We start from the raw sequence: 15,520 nt of genomic DNA, 5'->3' as shown, positions 1-15,520 counted from the left end.
CTACCCCAACAATGCAGCCAAGGCCCTTCATCAAACTAGGGCAGTTTTGTAAGAATTTTGATGGGAAAATATGAGGCATCTACCTTGCAGCCCTGATTTGGCTCCTTCTGACTTCGATTCCTAATCTTACCAATTTTTTTTAAGGGCACCCATTTTTCTTCTGTTAATGTAAAAAAGACTGCATTGACATAGCTAAATTCCCAGGACCCTCAGTTCTTTAGGAATGGACTGAATGACTGGTATTATTGCTTACAAAAGTGTCTTGATTTGGTGGAACTTACGTTGAGAAGTAAACTTTATGTTTTTTATCATTTAATTGTTTTTCCACAAATTTTTTGAAGTCCCTTCATATATGTATGTTTTAAAAGGGCTCAAATGGAATAGAGTGAAATATCTTTCTTTTTCCCCTCTTCCAGAGTGTACTAATTTTTGTGTATTCTGTTTTAGTTTATTTTTAAAATAATGTCTAGAGGGAACAGATATTTTTATGGAACATGAATGTTTAGCCAAGATTCTTTATCTGAAATCCAGGTAAAGGTGTTGTGTCTTGTTTTTATAAATCATTTTTATTTCAACAAAATGTTCAGTATAAGAAATTACTTTTAATAATTACGTCAAAACATGCAGTAGGTGGACTTTTGAGCTAACCCTGGAGAAGGAGCTGGATTTCACCAGTTAGCCTCCTATGGATCTGCTACCATCATCACCCTCCCACCCCACCTCCACTGCCTTTTTTCCCAAGACTTTTAAAAAAATGTTTTATTGCCCAGGCACAGCACTTTGGGAGGCTGAGGCGGGCGTGAGATTGGGAGTTTGAGACCAGCCTGACCAACATGGAGAAACCGCATCTCTACTAAAAATACAAAATTAGCCTGGCGTGGTGGCGCATGCCTGTAATCCCAGCTACTCTGGAGGCTGAGGCAGGAGAACCGCTTGAATCCGGGAGGCGAAGGTCACGGTGAGCCAAGATTGCACCATTGTACTCCAGCCTGGCCAACAAGAGCGAAACTCCCATCTCAAAAAAAAAAAGCCGGGTGTGGTGGCCCACACCTGTAATCCCAGCACTTTGGGAGGCCGAGGCAGGCAGATCACCTGAGGTCAGGAGTTCAAGACCAGCCTGGCCAACATGGTGAAACCCCATCTCTACTAAAAATATAAAACTTAGCTGGGTGTGGTTTCAGGCAGCTGTAATCCCAGCTGTTTGGGAGGCTGAGGCAGGAGAATTGCTTGAACCCAGGAGGCGGAAGTTGCAGTGAGCCGAGATGGCACCACTGCATTCCAGCCTGGGCAACAGAGCAAGACCCGTCTCAAAAAAAAAAAAAAATGTTTTATTTGCTGCTCTCTTTCCTGATTTTGTTTTAGAAAAAAGCCAGTCTTTTACATTATCAATTACATACCAATCACAATATTAAATATACATACTTTTTCTTGTTGATTCCACTTTTTAGTCTGCTTTTATGAAACCTAACTTTTTTGGAGTTTTCCTTTTGGGATGGTATGTGAGCTTATGAAATTTGAGCTATTTTTTTATATTTATCAAGACAGTCTTTGATTTGATTTAAATATGTACTTAAAAGTTTTTCCATTGTAGTGCTAGCTTTGAGTTAAAAAGATACCTGTGTTCAGATTCAGGAAAAAATCAGTATATTTAAAAACCTAACATTTGTGCATCAGTTTACAACATTCTGAGTTTTTAATGAATGTGTGGTTATGTGTATGTTTTTATTGCTTCACTTTTTATCTCTTTTGACACCTTATTTTTTTCTAATAAAAGTATTTACTTAGAAGCATTCACAGTGTTAACAAAACAGCTGCAACTTTTTTTTTTTTTGCAATTGCAGAGTGGTATTCAGTTAAGAGAACAATTATTTCGTATAAGCCACATCAGAGACGACTGAAGATGAAAAAACTACCATCCCCGTATATAACTAATTTGTGCTGTGCACCAACAAGAACCTGCTTTAAATTTCCATGGCAATTTACAACCCCCATACTGTACCAGGCAAGGTTAGTGGCTACTGAAAATACCACCAGGACAGGACTATCTAAAGACACATTTGGTAGTGTGTTAACTATACAAAAAAAGACACTGTACAGTTTAAAACATTTTACACAGCCTTACATTTCAATTTTTTACTTTAAAAAGAGTGAGTTGTGTACAGGGGAGTTAAATGTTTTATAGACAAAACCACTAAAACCAGTGCATTCATTATCAGCATATTCATTATCGTCATCCTCTTCATCTTCCTCCTCATCCTCTTCCTCATCCTCTTCATCTTTCTCATTCTTCCTTTTCTTGCTTTTTTCAGCCTTGACATCTCCCTTTTTCGCTGCATCAGGCTTTCCTTTAGCTCGATATACAGCAGTATCCTTTCTGTATTTTTCCTTCAGCTTTGCAGCCTTCTTTTCATAAGGCCATTTGTCATCTGCAGCACTGTTAGTCCGCATCTCTCCCAGTTTCTTTGCAACATCACCAGTAGACTGGCCAGGATGTTCTCCCTTTGATTTTTGGGCAGTACTCAGGCTGAAGGGAGGCCTCTTGGGTGCATTGGGATCCTTGAACTTCTTTTTTGTCTCCTGTTTAGGAGGAATATAGGTTTTCATTTCTCTTTCATAATGGACCTTGTCCGCCTTTGCCATATTTTCAAATTTTCCTTTCTCTTTAGCAGACATGGTCTTCCATTTCCCTGAGCACTTCTTAGAAAACTCTTTGAGAAGTTTACTGAAGCATCTGAGTGGTGGTGCTTATGCTCCTCCCGACAACTTTGCACAAAAAATGCATATGATGACATTCTGTCTCTTGGCTTCTTAGGATCTCCTTTACCCCTGTTTAGTTATTTTTCCTCAGCGAGGCACAGAGTCACCCAGTGCCCGTCTGGCTCTCACTTGACACCTTTTATTTTTTTAAGGATTCTTAAGTCATTTAGGTTACTTTGTAGGTTTTTCCTGTGCCCCCATAAGAATGATAGCTTTAAAAATTATGCTGGGGTAGCAAAGAAGATACTTCTAGCTTTAGAATGTGTAGGTATAGCCAGGATTTTTGTGAGGAGGGGTGATTTAGAGCAAATTTCTTATTCTCCTTGCCTCATCTGTAACATGGGGATAATAATAGAACTGGCTTGACAAGGTTGGAATTAGTATTACATGGTAAATACATGTAAAATGTTTAGAATGGTGCCAAGTATCTAGGAAGTACTTGGGTATGAGGTGGTGGTGGTAACATATGTAATACTCTTACGTGCATATCATTCCAAGTGAGTTTTAAATGTATACATTTATTGCATTGATATACAGACATTAAGCATCTAGACTCTCTTGTCTTGATTCTGAGACCCTACTAAAGGTCATATCCACCTCTCTCCAACCTTATTTTTTACTACTTCCCTTCAAGCATCATATGCTGCAGTCACATTGAACTATCATGGTTCTCTTGTACAAGCCATATGTTTTCTCATTTACTTATGTTCATACTGTTCTCACCAATTTGATTGTTATCCCATCTCCTTGTATTCAAATGCTACCTTTTAAGTGAAGTTTTCTGATAGTTCAATAGGTAGAACTATATAGGTAATCATCATGTGAATTTCATGTTTCCTCTTACATGATTCTTTACCACTTTTTGTATTGCACTTTAGCCTTTTATTTACATATGTCTCTCTTACTGTGTTGTGCAATCTTTACAGGCAGAAAACTGTACCTTTTTCTTCCTTGTAGGTTTAGAACCTATCATAGGCCTTGGGACTTAGTAGGCATTCATTTGTGTAATGAAAATTTATAAAAGGTATCACAAGCTAAAAGGTTATGTTTAATGGACAAATGCATGCCAGTAAAAATGTGTTTTGTCAGTGTTTGTACATTCAAGAATGTCCTGGCCAGTCACTTAAAATGAAATCACTTTTTTAAAAAAAGATTGTATCTCTAAATAACCACCAGAGAATGGTTTTTCTGCTTGTTGTTACCTCATTTTTCACAGATCTTCCTAATAATTATCAGTGGTACAAATGTGGGAAAAGTTCATCCAGGGCTAAGGGTTCGTCACCTGCCAGTAGTGGGATAGATAAGCCACGTGGCTCAATAAATTATTGAACCCATAGTGTCACCCTCCAAGTATTTTTCTTTTTTAATCACAATACCATAATGCCTTTAGGTGTGAAACTGGGTATAGCCTAAGAATAGGAACTGGATGAGATATTTCATGAGGACACTTGATCCTTGCTTGCTGTGATATTGCTAAGGGTGTGGCATCATGATTTGGACAAAATGAGAATGGCAGGAATTGGGGAGATAAAATATCAGGCTCATAGGCCTTCATGGAGTTAAAGCAGTATTGTGTGTGCTTAGCTCCAGAATTCTCAGAATTTTTACAATAATTCAACAGGACGTTGGATTGAATAAGCACTTTAATACTGAAACACTGGATTTGAAAACTGGATGTTATGTGTTCTACTCATAAGCCTATTACTCATTGGCTGTGACCTGGGATACATCACTGCTTTTGCTTTTAGAGAATGAGGGTCATTGGGCTAGGTATTTACAGCTCTTAATATTTTAGGGTTGCAGTCTAGCACCGTATTTTTAAAACAAGAATTCTAAGCTTCTAATATCCACCTGTTCTTTGCAAGGTTAACTTTTTTTTAACAAACTCTGAGAATCAGAAGTCTTAGACATTTACTTGATAATTTTAGCATTTGAGGAATTGGCTGATGTTCCTAGAATCAAATTCTGACAGAAACTTTAATGCCCCCTCTATCTCACTGTTTTATTTAACAAGAGTTCTGATTGCTTTCATTGGTTGGTAAAACAGATATTTCAAGTAATAGCCACACTGATTAATTTCATTATGGTGACATTTCATTAATGTCATTATGGTGACATTTCAGTTTTATGTATGTCTATACTGCCCACACACAAAAGTACTACCGTGTGATTCAATATTTTCTTCTGTAGTTCATTTGTATAAAAAATCAGATGGGCTGGGTGCGGTGGCTCACGCCTGTAATCCCAGCATTTTGGGAGGCCAAGACGGGTGGATCATAAGGTCAGAAGTTTGAGACCAACCTGGCCAATATGGTGAAACTCTGTCTCTACTAAAAATACAAAAGTTAGCCAGGCGTGGTGGCGCGCATGTGTAGTCCCAGCCACTTGGGAGGCTGAGGCAGAAGAGTCGCTTGAACCCAGGATGTGGAGGTTGCAGTGAGCCGAGATCATGCCACTGCACTCCAGCCTGGGTACAGAGCAAGATGCCATCTCAGAAAAAAAAAAAAAGTCTGATGTGATCCACAGAAGTGGTTTCATGACTTAACTGTAGGTCTGTCTCAACCTTCTTTGGACAGGGTGAGGAATCAACTAGATAACGTTTTAAATTTGGTACTTTAACATTTGCTGGGCACTTAGATATACTACTACACTTATGTGTAATAGCTTAGACGTTAGATACAAATTAATCATTACCTGAAAAATTCCTAACAGCAGTGGGTTGAGTGGGAAAAAAGGCATGGAGGATGAAATCATGTTCTTTTTTTTTTTTTCTTTTTGTTGGCGTGTTTGATAGGTTTAATATGTTACTGAGTCTGCCAGTTCAAATAGCCCACTTAGGGATCTTAGGGATTTGTATTTATTTACATTTAGGGTTACCTCAAATCCTATGGCAAGCAAAAAAATAAAAATAAATCCCCAATTATTTCCCTCAAATCAAACCAGAATTCCTACTGTTTCTCAAAAAATCTTAGTTTCTTAGTCTATATATGCAATCATAAAGCTTCTTCCAGTGTTTGTATAATTTTGGTGGCCTAGATCTTGGTCAGATGGGACAGGGAGGGGAATTTTTGTATGAAGGAACATAACCAAAAAAAAAAAAAAAAAAGCACCACCTTCTTGTTTCTTATTCCTCTGTGTATCATGTGATACTGCTTTTAAGGCCTTAGAATTGCCGAGGCCATGGTAACCCAAGGCAGACTTGCTGTTTTCCTCTCAGATTTGAAGTTCTGCATTTTATTAGTCACGAAGAACTAGTCTGTTACCAGTAAATACTTAAGACACAAAACTTGCTTCTCTGTGCTGCTGTGTACTTCCTGTTTTGTCAGATTTCCATTTAGGGAAAAGAATGGATTTTATGCTAGGCTAGCTTCTCCTGAAATTCAGTTTGGAAGCCGTCCAGATATCTAGGGCGGGTGGTGGGGGAGAATGGCATGTCTTGTCTATATATGATGTCATTTGTCAGAAAGATTCATTTGGCTGCTTATCATGAAAGAGAGGGTTGCCAGGAAGGAAGAGAAACCTTTTGCTGTCAGAACTATTTAGTGTATGACTTGCCTACTTTGTGGCTTGCCTTTAGGCTTTCCATGTCAAATGTGTTTGAGGTTGTGAATGAATTATTATATTGCCTATGAAGGAAGGATCTATGTTCATTTCTAGTAGGTTTTTATTCCAGAAATATGTAAGAACTGTATTTAGACACATTTGCTTCACTTATAGAAGAGACAGGTCAAAGGTTAGATGGTAATTAGAACTGGGCTACATTTTAAATGTTGAAAATGTTTTGGGGGGAAGTTGCAGTAAAACCATTTTAAAAATCTTTTGCAGCTAAAATAGTAAATAGAACACCTAGTTATAAATGATGAATTTTCTGTCAGTTTTTATCCTATGAAATGAAATTCCAATTAGTTGTTAATAGAATGTGTGAGTAGAATATGCTTTCAGTGTAATCCTGAATCCTACTAATACTGCTGGTAACGGAATATTGTTTTGCAATGGTGGAACCAAAGCTCGTCTATAAAATTCTCTTTGACCAAATTGACCTGGTCTGCATTAAGTCAGAGCTAATTTTCTCTTTTTTGACCTGTCAGTAAAATATGAAAGATGCTTTTCAATCCCTGACCATTAGTGAACAGTTACAGAATTTCTTCTTTATTGGCACCCTGGCTCTTCGTTCACTCACATGTTGGAAATGTTCTCTTAACATCTGTATGTTGTCTTCCTTGGGAGCTGATGTTGAATTCTAAAATATTTGGAACCATCCCTATAAATTTTCTGCCAGATTCTTCCCTCCCCTTCCCCCCACCCCCCACTCTTTTTTTCATCTAGGTGTATGTATGCTGCTATTTCCGAGACATACATTCCTTACACAATCATGAAAAAAAGTTTTCCTAGACACCCATCATCCCTTACTGCTTCATCCCCCATTTTGCTTTCTAAATGTCATCTCTTCCTTTTTTTTTTTTGAGTTGGAGTCTTGCTCTGTTGCACAGGCTGGAGTGCAGTGGCGTGGTCTCGGCTCACTGCATCCTCCGCTTCCCAGGTTCAAGTGATTCTCCTGCCTCAGCCTCCTGAGTAGCTGGGATTACAGGCGCCTGCCATCACGCCTGGCTAATTTTTATATTTTTAGTAGAGACGGGGTTTCATCATGTTGGCCAGGCTGGTCTTGAACTCCTGACCTCAGGTGACCAACCCATCTTGGCCTTCCAAAGTGCTGGGATTACAGGCGTGAGCCATCACACCCTGCCCTAAGTGTCATCACTTTAAAAGTAACCTTTTCTCTTACCCTATTCTCCTTTTAGTAACCTGTTTCCAAATCAGTGATTCTCAAATTTTAGAGTGTTAATAAGAATTACCTCAGATACTTATTGAAAATACAGATTCCTGGGTCCCTCTTCCTACCTAGTGAGTTCAAATCTGTAGAATTCTGACTTAGGTGATCTTCGAACCACACTTTGAGAAAGTTGTCTGTTGCATGCATTCCCACTATCATGTAAATTCTGTCCTTCATATTTTTACATAATCTACTTTGTTTTAATTACTGGAATCTCAGAAGTTTTTTACTCATAATTATTGATAAGCTTTTTCTCCTGAATTCACTCATTGGAGGGGTCTTCCACTAGGTGTCCAGGAAATGTTCCCAAATTCCCTTCCATATTTGTCAGAATTTATGTTCTCTCCTCCCCAAAGCACATGTTTATAGTTCAGTGTAGACATACAAGTATATGTATACACATCTCTTTTTTACTTTTTTTTTGAGGCAGGGTCTCACTCTGTTACCTACACTGGAGTGCAGCAGCACCATCTTGGCTCACTGCAACCTCTGCCTCCCAAGGTCAAGCAATTCAACTGCCTCAGCCTCCCAAGTAGCTGGGACTACAGGCGCCTGCCACCATGCCCGGCTAATTTTTATATTTTTAGCAGAGATGGGGTTTCACTCTGTTGGCCAGGCTGGTCTCAAACTGCTGACCACAAGTGATCTGCCCACGTCGGCCTCCCAAAGTGTTGGGATTACAGGCGGTAGCCACTGTGCCCAGCTTGTATACACGTTTAATAGACCTTGCCAGTGATTTTTAGTATCTGCTTTTCTCACTGGGGAAAGAACTATATCTGAACTTTTTAAATTTTAGTCTTCCTTGGTGATGTGATACATCGTAGGCATCCAAATGTTTGCCTTGAATTTTTACTGCTATCACTTGGTTGCTACTGACACCCAAACCAATCAGACCTACTAAATATCATATATTATTATCTTTATACCTGTAATTTTCCTATACCATTTCCTTTTCTCTAAATTATCAGAATTTTCTTCGGTGCTATCTTAAGAATAATTCCCTTATATTATATTAATCTTGAATCCCATTGACTTTTCCTGAAAAAAAATTAACTCCCATTTCCACATGGATCTTAATAGTTCAACTCTTTATTTACATGAATTTTTCTCAAAACTTTGTGATTCCATGTAGTAGAAATGAAATATAAGTCCAAATGATACACTTCAAAGACAAACCCAAGATACATGAGTAAGGAATCCTGCTCATCAACTATCTTTATATGTTAATCACATTATACTAGTATTTATTTCAAAGAGATATATGGACTGGAAGGATACACTTTATAATAGAGTACCTCTTGAAGGGGTTGAGTGGTCAAAGAAGGAATATTACTTTTATTTGTAATGTTTTAATATTTATATGAGGGACAATAAATACATAGGTACATATGAACATACCACATAATTTAAGTACCTACATTGCAAAAACAATGGAGGCTGGGCAGTGGCTCACACCCATAATCGCAACACTTTGGGAGGCCGAGGTGGGAGGATCACTTGTCATGACTTGAGACCAGCCTGGACAATATAGATACAGCGTGTTTCTTCAAAAATTTTAAAAAATTAGCCAGGCGTGGTGGTACATGCCTGTGATTCGAGCTACTCGGGAGGCTGAGGTGGGAGGATAGTTTAAGCACGGAAGATTGAGGCTGCAGTGATCTTTGATCCTGCCATTGTACTCCAGCCTGGCAACAGAGTGAGACCCTGTCTCCGGAAAAAAAAAAAAAACACCATGGAAGCAAGCAAAAAAAAAAAAATTCCTAAAATAGTTATTCCAGGTTGTGGGAATATGGATGGCTTTCTTCTTTGCCCTCTTTGTTATTTTCTTTGTTATTGTTGTTCAGATGGAGTCTCATTCTGTCGCCCAGGCTGGAGTGCAGTGGCACGATCTTGCCTCACTGCAAGCTCCACTTAGATTGAAGCAGTTCTCCTGTCTCGGCCTCCTGAGTAGCTGGGATTACAGGTACCTGCCTCCACACCCGGCTGATTTTTGTATTTTTAGTAGAGACGGGGTTTCACCTTGTCGGTCAGGTTGGTGTCTAACTCTTGACCTCGTGATCTACCTAGCTCAGCCTCCCAAAGTGCTGGCATTGCAGGCGTGAGCCGCCACGCCTGGCCTTGTTATCTTTTTTTTTTTTTTTTTTAAACTTTATACAGGCAAGGTCTCGCTATGTTGTCCAGGCTGGAGTGTAGTGGCTATTCACAGGCACTTTCACAGCACAATGCAGCACTGCTCAAGCAATCCTCTCACCTCAGCCTCATGAGTAGCTGGGACCATAGTTGGACACCACTACACTGAGGTCTTTTGGTTTTTTTTTCTTACTTTTTTTTTTGGTGGTGGTGGTTTAGTTTAAGCAGCAACATGCGAAAAGGTATCTTTAAAATTCACCCCAGTTTAAAGGAGGGTAAGATATAATTTAGTGGTTTTATAAGGAAACGGCTTCTCAGAATATTTTGTAAAGGGCAAGAATCACGTTTTCTATTTCATGTGTCCTTTAACAGTTCTAATAAGCAATTAATGTTTATTATGATTGAGGTATGCTGGGTGCAGTGGCTCATGCCTGTAATCCCAGCACTTTGGGAGGCCTAGGTGGGTGGATCACCTGCAGTCAGGAGTTCGAAACCAGCCTGACCAACATGGTGAAATCCCGTCTCTACTAAAAATACAAAATTAGCCAAGTGTGGCGGTGTGTGCCTGCAATCCCAGCTGCTTTGGAAGCTGAGGCAGGAGATTGCTGGAACCCGGGAGGCAGAGGTTGCAGTGAGCTGAGATTGTGTCATTGCACTCCAGCCTGGGCAACAACAGTGAAACTCGGTCTCAAAAAAAAAAAAAAAAGAAAAAAAAAAAGACCAGGCGCGGTGGCTCCCTAGCACTTCGGGAGGTCGAGGCGGGCGGATCACAAGGTCAGAGTTTGAGACTAGCCTAGCCAACATGATGAAACCCCGTCTCTAGTAAAAATAGAAAAATTAGCGCCCGTAATCCCAGCTACTCGGGAGACTGAGGCAGAAGAATCTCTTGAACCCAGGAGGACGAAGTTGCAGTAAGCCAAGATCGTGCCACTGCACTCCAGCCTGGGCAAGAAGAGCAAAATTCTGTCTGGGGGGCAGGGGGAAGAGGTATATTTTTTGGATTAAAATGGAATGCTTTCCTCAAACTGTTAAAATTAGGTAGTGTTACAAGTTTAAAGAATAGGTTTAGCCAGTGTGATTATTGCAGTGTAATAAAAAGGATCCCAGGTGGCACACATGCTAGTGTGGTGCCCAGATGCTCAACTGAAGTGAAGGATAACATGCGTTTCAACATTTTCTATATACTAGGCAGTTTTTCTTAAGTCTTGGTTTATTGTGATATAATACAGTAAAATTTACTCTTTATACGTATGATTCCATTAATATTAACAAATTTAAACAGTCTTACAGCTAAATACAATCAAGATACAGAACATTTCCATCACTACAGGAAGTTGTTTTTTGCTAATTTAACTAAACTTCTTACCATGCTCAACCCCCCACCCCCACCCTGAGAACCACTGCTTTGTTTTTCTGATCATATAGTTTGGCCTTTTCAAAAATGTCATACAGTTGGAATCATATAGTATGCATGAATCATGTAGCTGAAGTTTTCATTTCACTTAGGTAAACACCTAGGAATAGGAGTGCTGGGTTATACTCTAAGTGTTAAACTTCATAAGAAGCTGCTAAACTGTTTTCCAAAGCATCTGTACCATTTTCCTTTCCCACCAGCAATAAAGCATTCATTAGTCTACGTACTCACCAGTGCTAGTGTGGTCAGAATGTATAGTTTTAATTATACACATTATAATAGATGTAGAGTGGTATCTCATCGTGATTTTGCCTTTTCCTAATGAATATCTTTCCTTACATATTTGTCATTAGTGTGTCTTCTTTAGTAAATGGTCCTATTGTTTTGCCCATTTTTAAAAGTTGAGTTTTCATATTGTTCAATTTCGAGAGTTCTTCATATATTCTGGACACAAGTCCTTTGTCAGACATGTGATTTGCAAATATTTTCCCCCAGAGTTTTTCCTGTCTTGTCAGTCCCTTAATAGTGTTTTTAGGAAGGAGAACAGCTGCTTTTAATTTTGATAAAGCTTGTCAATTGTTTTTCTTTTATGGATCATGCTTTTGGTGTAGTATCTGAGAACTCTTTCTTAAACCAGTCACACATGTCTTCTGTTTTCTTTGAAGCTTTACAGGTTGAGGTACATTTTGGTCCATGATCACTTTTGAGCTACTTTTTATATATAGGTAGTATAAGATATGGTTTGAGGTTTTTGTTTGGGGTTTTTTTTCTTCCTGCATATGAATGTTCAGTTGTTCCAGCACCATTTGTTGAAAAAACACTATCCTTTCTCTAGTAATTTGCTTTTTTACTTTTGTCAGTTGACTATTTGTGGGTCTGTTTTTAAACTCCATTTTATATTATGTCTACATTATGAACTTTATAGTTAGTCTTGAAATTAGGTAATGTGGGTCTTCTCACTTGTGCTTTTCAAAATTGTTTTGGCTCTTCTAATTCTTTCACTTTTTCCATATAAATTTTAGAAACAGCTTATTGATTTCTACCACTTTCCCCCAAAAAGCCACTTGGGAATTTGACTAAGTTTACATCGAATCTAATAAATGATTTTGGAGAGAAGTGGTATCTTAGCAATACAGTCTTTTCTGATAACACTTCCTGTTTTAGTTCTTTTTCTCATTTAATAATTTTCCAACATTAAAACCTTGGACAAATTTAGATGTGTATCTGAATAATTCCAGTTTTGTTGCCATTTAAAATGGTACATAATCCTTATTTTATAGATGAGAAAATTAAGTAACTTGCCCAAGTCACACAGTTACTAAATGACAAAGCTAGATTGAAATCTATGAGCTTATAAACTAATGTCCTGTTTTGAGCTACAGTACTAGTTTTATTAAATTGTTGTGGTTAAACTGGGGTAGAGAGGAAGTCCTAACTTCTTTTAAGAAAAAAAAAATCCCACTACTGTAGTTCATAAAATAATTGGTCCCCCCACACTTATGTATTTTCAAAGATTCAGTTTTCCAGATCTGTTCAGGTGATAAACCATGCTTTTTTTTTTTTTTCTTCTTTCTCTTTGAGACAGAATCTTGCTCTGTCACCCAAGCCGGAGTGTAGTGGTGCCATCATAGCTCACTACAGCCCTGAACTCCTGGGCTCAAGATATCCTCCCACCTCAGCCTCTTGAGTAGCTGGGACTACAGGCGCATGCCATCATGCCTGGCTGACTTTCTTATTTTTTGTAGAGAAAAGGTCTCTCACTACGTTGCTTAGGCTGGTCTTGAACTCCTGGGTTCAAGCGATCCTCCTGCCTCAGCTTCCCAAAGTGTTGAGATTACAGGTGTGAGCCACCACACCCAGCCTCCATGTTCATCTTAGTTTAGAAGCCTTCGATTGACACATTTCTGAATCAGTGATTTTCAAATAGTATACCTTATCCAGCAGTTAGTATGATTTCAATGTGTGTACCTTTAGCATGTGAATAGTTATTTGTGCTCACCAGTTGAAATACAAGGAAAGGATTTTTTTTTTTTTTAAACAACTCTCAGTCTTGTGCGGGGGGGAGTGGGGGAGGTGGTGGTATATACTTTATTATAGTTCAGCCATAATAGATACATATGGTCAGTGGGAACAACAAAAAAAAGCTATACTTGGTTGGGGTTACAATAGTTGCATTTCATGTTTTGAAGTTCCTTTGATAGGTGGATATTTTTACAAACTGAGAATATTTGTAGTCTTAATTTGCTACTTTTCCTGTGAAATGAAGAATATTCTGATGTTGAGACCTGTTAAACATTGGTAACCTAGAAGTTGACTTTCTTATTTTTTAGGTCTCTATGAATAAAGAAAAGCAAATAGAATCTTATCAGATAAGTGCTTTTATAAGTCTAAATATATTCTTTGGAATCTCTAAAGCAAAACTTTTAAACTTTTTTTTTTTTTTTTTTTTTTTTAGGTACCAGCATCAAGATGATTTATGGTAATAAGGTACTCAGTCTTTGCTTAAAATAAATTTTACGTTTATCAAAGTAAAATTTACCAGCTTTTTTTCCTAAAGAGGCTAGTCATATCTCATCAGTGGTTACAAAGTATCCTTACAATTGAACCTACATTTGTTAATCCTGTTCAGTGTGTATGAAAATCACTTGGTGGCCGGGCATGGTGGCTCACGCCTGTAATCCCAGCACTTTGGGAGGCCAAGGCGGGCAGATCACAAGGTCAGGAGTTCGAGACCAGCCTGGCTAATATAGTGAAACCCCATTTCTACTAAAAATGCAAACATTAGTCAGGCATGGTGGCAGGTGCCTGTAGTCCCAGCTACTTGGGAGGCTGAGGCAGGAGACTCTCTTCAACCCGTGAGGCAGAGGTTGCAGTGAGTCGAGATCATGTCACTGCACTTCAGCTTAAGCAACAGAGCGAGACTCCATCTCAAAAAAAGAAAAGCACGTCACTCGATGTTCTTTCTTTCATAAGAGTTGAAGAACTAGGTATATCTGCTTATATTATGGCATCTATAGTAGCTTAGCTGCTCATATTTGGGTCTCTTTAGAACCAGTGTCTTTCAAAGAGGGTTTTAACTATGCTGGTGTAAATTTTAAGAATAGATACATTCAAAGAAGAATTCAACATTCATGTGACATTCATACTTTGGAACTTTGGGAAAGTATAGGAATGACCATAGATTGGCTTAGGGATAGTCAATTTACCTGTCTGTAAATGGATCCAATTTAGTATTGTTCCTGTATTTTTCTAAGACCAACACTTGTGTCATTCACAGTTAAATATATGAGTTGTGGCCAGGCCCGGTGGCTCATGCCTGTAATTTCAGCATTTTAGGAGGCTGAGGTGAACAGATTGCTCAAGTCCAGGAGTTCAAGACCAGCCTGGGCAACATAGTGAGATGCGGTCTCTACAAAAAATTTTTAAAAGTTAGCCAAGCATGGTGGTGCTTGCCTGTGGTCCCAGCTACTTGGGAGGCTGAGGTGGGAGGATTGCTTGAGCCATATGCTCTAATATATTTTAAAATACATATTTTAAATATATTTTGAGTGGTAAAATGTAGCAGATAATGTTACATAAAAGAAGCCATGGTAATGACATGACATTACTGGTTTTGAGTTGTTTGTGTAGTAGTTAGCTATTAATACTCAGGTATAATGATTTGCTATTTAAACTACACAAATGCTCAAAGTCCAGCGATACCCTGCACCCAAATTCAGTGGCTAGATTACCTTCTTAGGAAAGCACAACACTTCAATGGAGTGACACTGGCATGAGTCCACTAGAGGGTGTGTATACATGGCCTGAGTTCAAATTGTTCCTGCTGTGAGTACTGCTTTTCAGCTTCAAGTTATTCTTATCGGCCACAGTACTGTTTATTCCACTTAGTAACAGTTCTGTTTACAGAGCACTTTAACATAAATTCTGATTTTTAACATGAAAGCTGTCTGATGTTGGTATTTTTATTTTAATCTTTAGAGATCAAGAAATTTTTTTAGTGACAGAATAGGGACTTTATTGATCCTTAAATCCGCCCCTCACCACAATAAAGGAAAAAAGCAAAAACATCCTTGACTCATGTATTGAAGGGTCTTTTTTGAGAAGGGTCAGTTTTTGAAAAATTATCCAAAACTGAAACATCTGTCATCTGTATCACATCTAAAGATTAACAGTGACTGATGACCACCAGTTACTTCATATGAAAGTGGGAAACCGTATCAGTTATTTGTCCACTAAGTTGGTAGGTGCTTTTTGTACAAAAGCCCAGGAGAATATGATCTGTAAATTCTAGTTGAGTGATGAAGATGGGGCTTTGAATTAATCTACAGTCTTGGAATTAATTCTGCAGCATTTTAACCAGGGAATTTTTCAGTAGTCATAAATCTATA

The 15,520-nt window shown here is 38.5% G+C and overlaps 1 long non-coding RNA gene and 1 pseudogene across 2 annotated transcripts in view, besides 2 other annotated features; one reads left to right on the top strand and one right to left on the bottom strand.

The window, feature by feature from the left end:
• The window catches only part of PSMA3-AS1 (PSMA3 antisense RNA 1), a 32,773-nt gene that overhangs the window by 10,540 nt on the left and 6,713 nt on the right, over window positions 1–15,520 (top strand). The window contains exons 3-4 of one of the 2 annotated variants that reach the window (NR_029434.1): window positions 1,842–2,007; window positions 13,588–13,619. This is a non-coding gene — a long non-coding RNA (PSMA3 antisense RNA 1). Of the gene's footprint in view, window positions 1–1,841; window positions 2,008–13,462; window positions 13,620–15,520 lie in introns of both variants that reach the window. The other variant, NR_029435.1, reaches the window with a different exon arrangement.
• On the bottom strand, window positions 1,765–2,889 carry HMGB1P14 (high mobility group box 1 pseudogene 14; annotated as a pseudogene).
• Window positions 14,748–14,892: an enhancer, noted in NCBI's record as "145 bp enhancer 46 fragment used in the MPRA reporter construct; PK_construct_1867". NCBI's record gives its function as "activates an SV40 promoter by MPRA in HepG2 cells {active_cell/tissue: HepG2}" and the evidence as "EXISTENCE:reporter gene assay evidence [ECO:0000049][PMID:23512712]".
• Window positions 14,815–14,827: a transcriptional cis regulatory region, noted in NCBI's record as "HNF4 motif; enhancer activity is reduced when this motif is scrambled". NCBI's record gives its function as "necessary for full MPRA enhancer 46 activity {active_cell/tissue: HepG2}" and the evidence as "EXISTENCE:site-directed mutagenesis evidence [ECO:0005528][PMID:23512712]".

Source organism: Homo sapiens, chromosome 14 (assembly GCF_000001405.40).
Source record: "Homo sapiens chromosome 14, GRCh38.p14 Primary Assembly".
In the NCBI taxonomy this organism is placed as follows: domain Eukaryota; kingdom Metazoa; phylum Chordata; class Mammalia; order Primates; family Hominidae; genus Homo; species Homo sapiens.
This window is presented reverse-complemented; position numbering and strand designations above follow the sequence as displayed.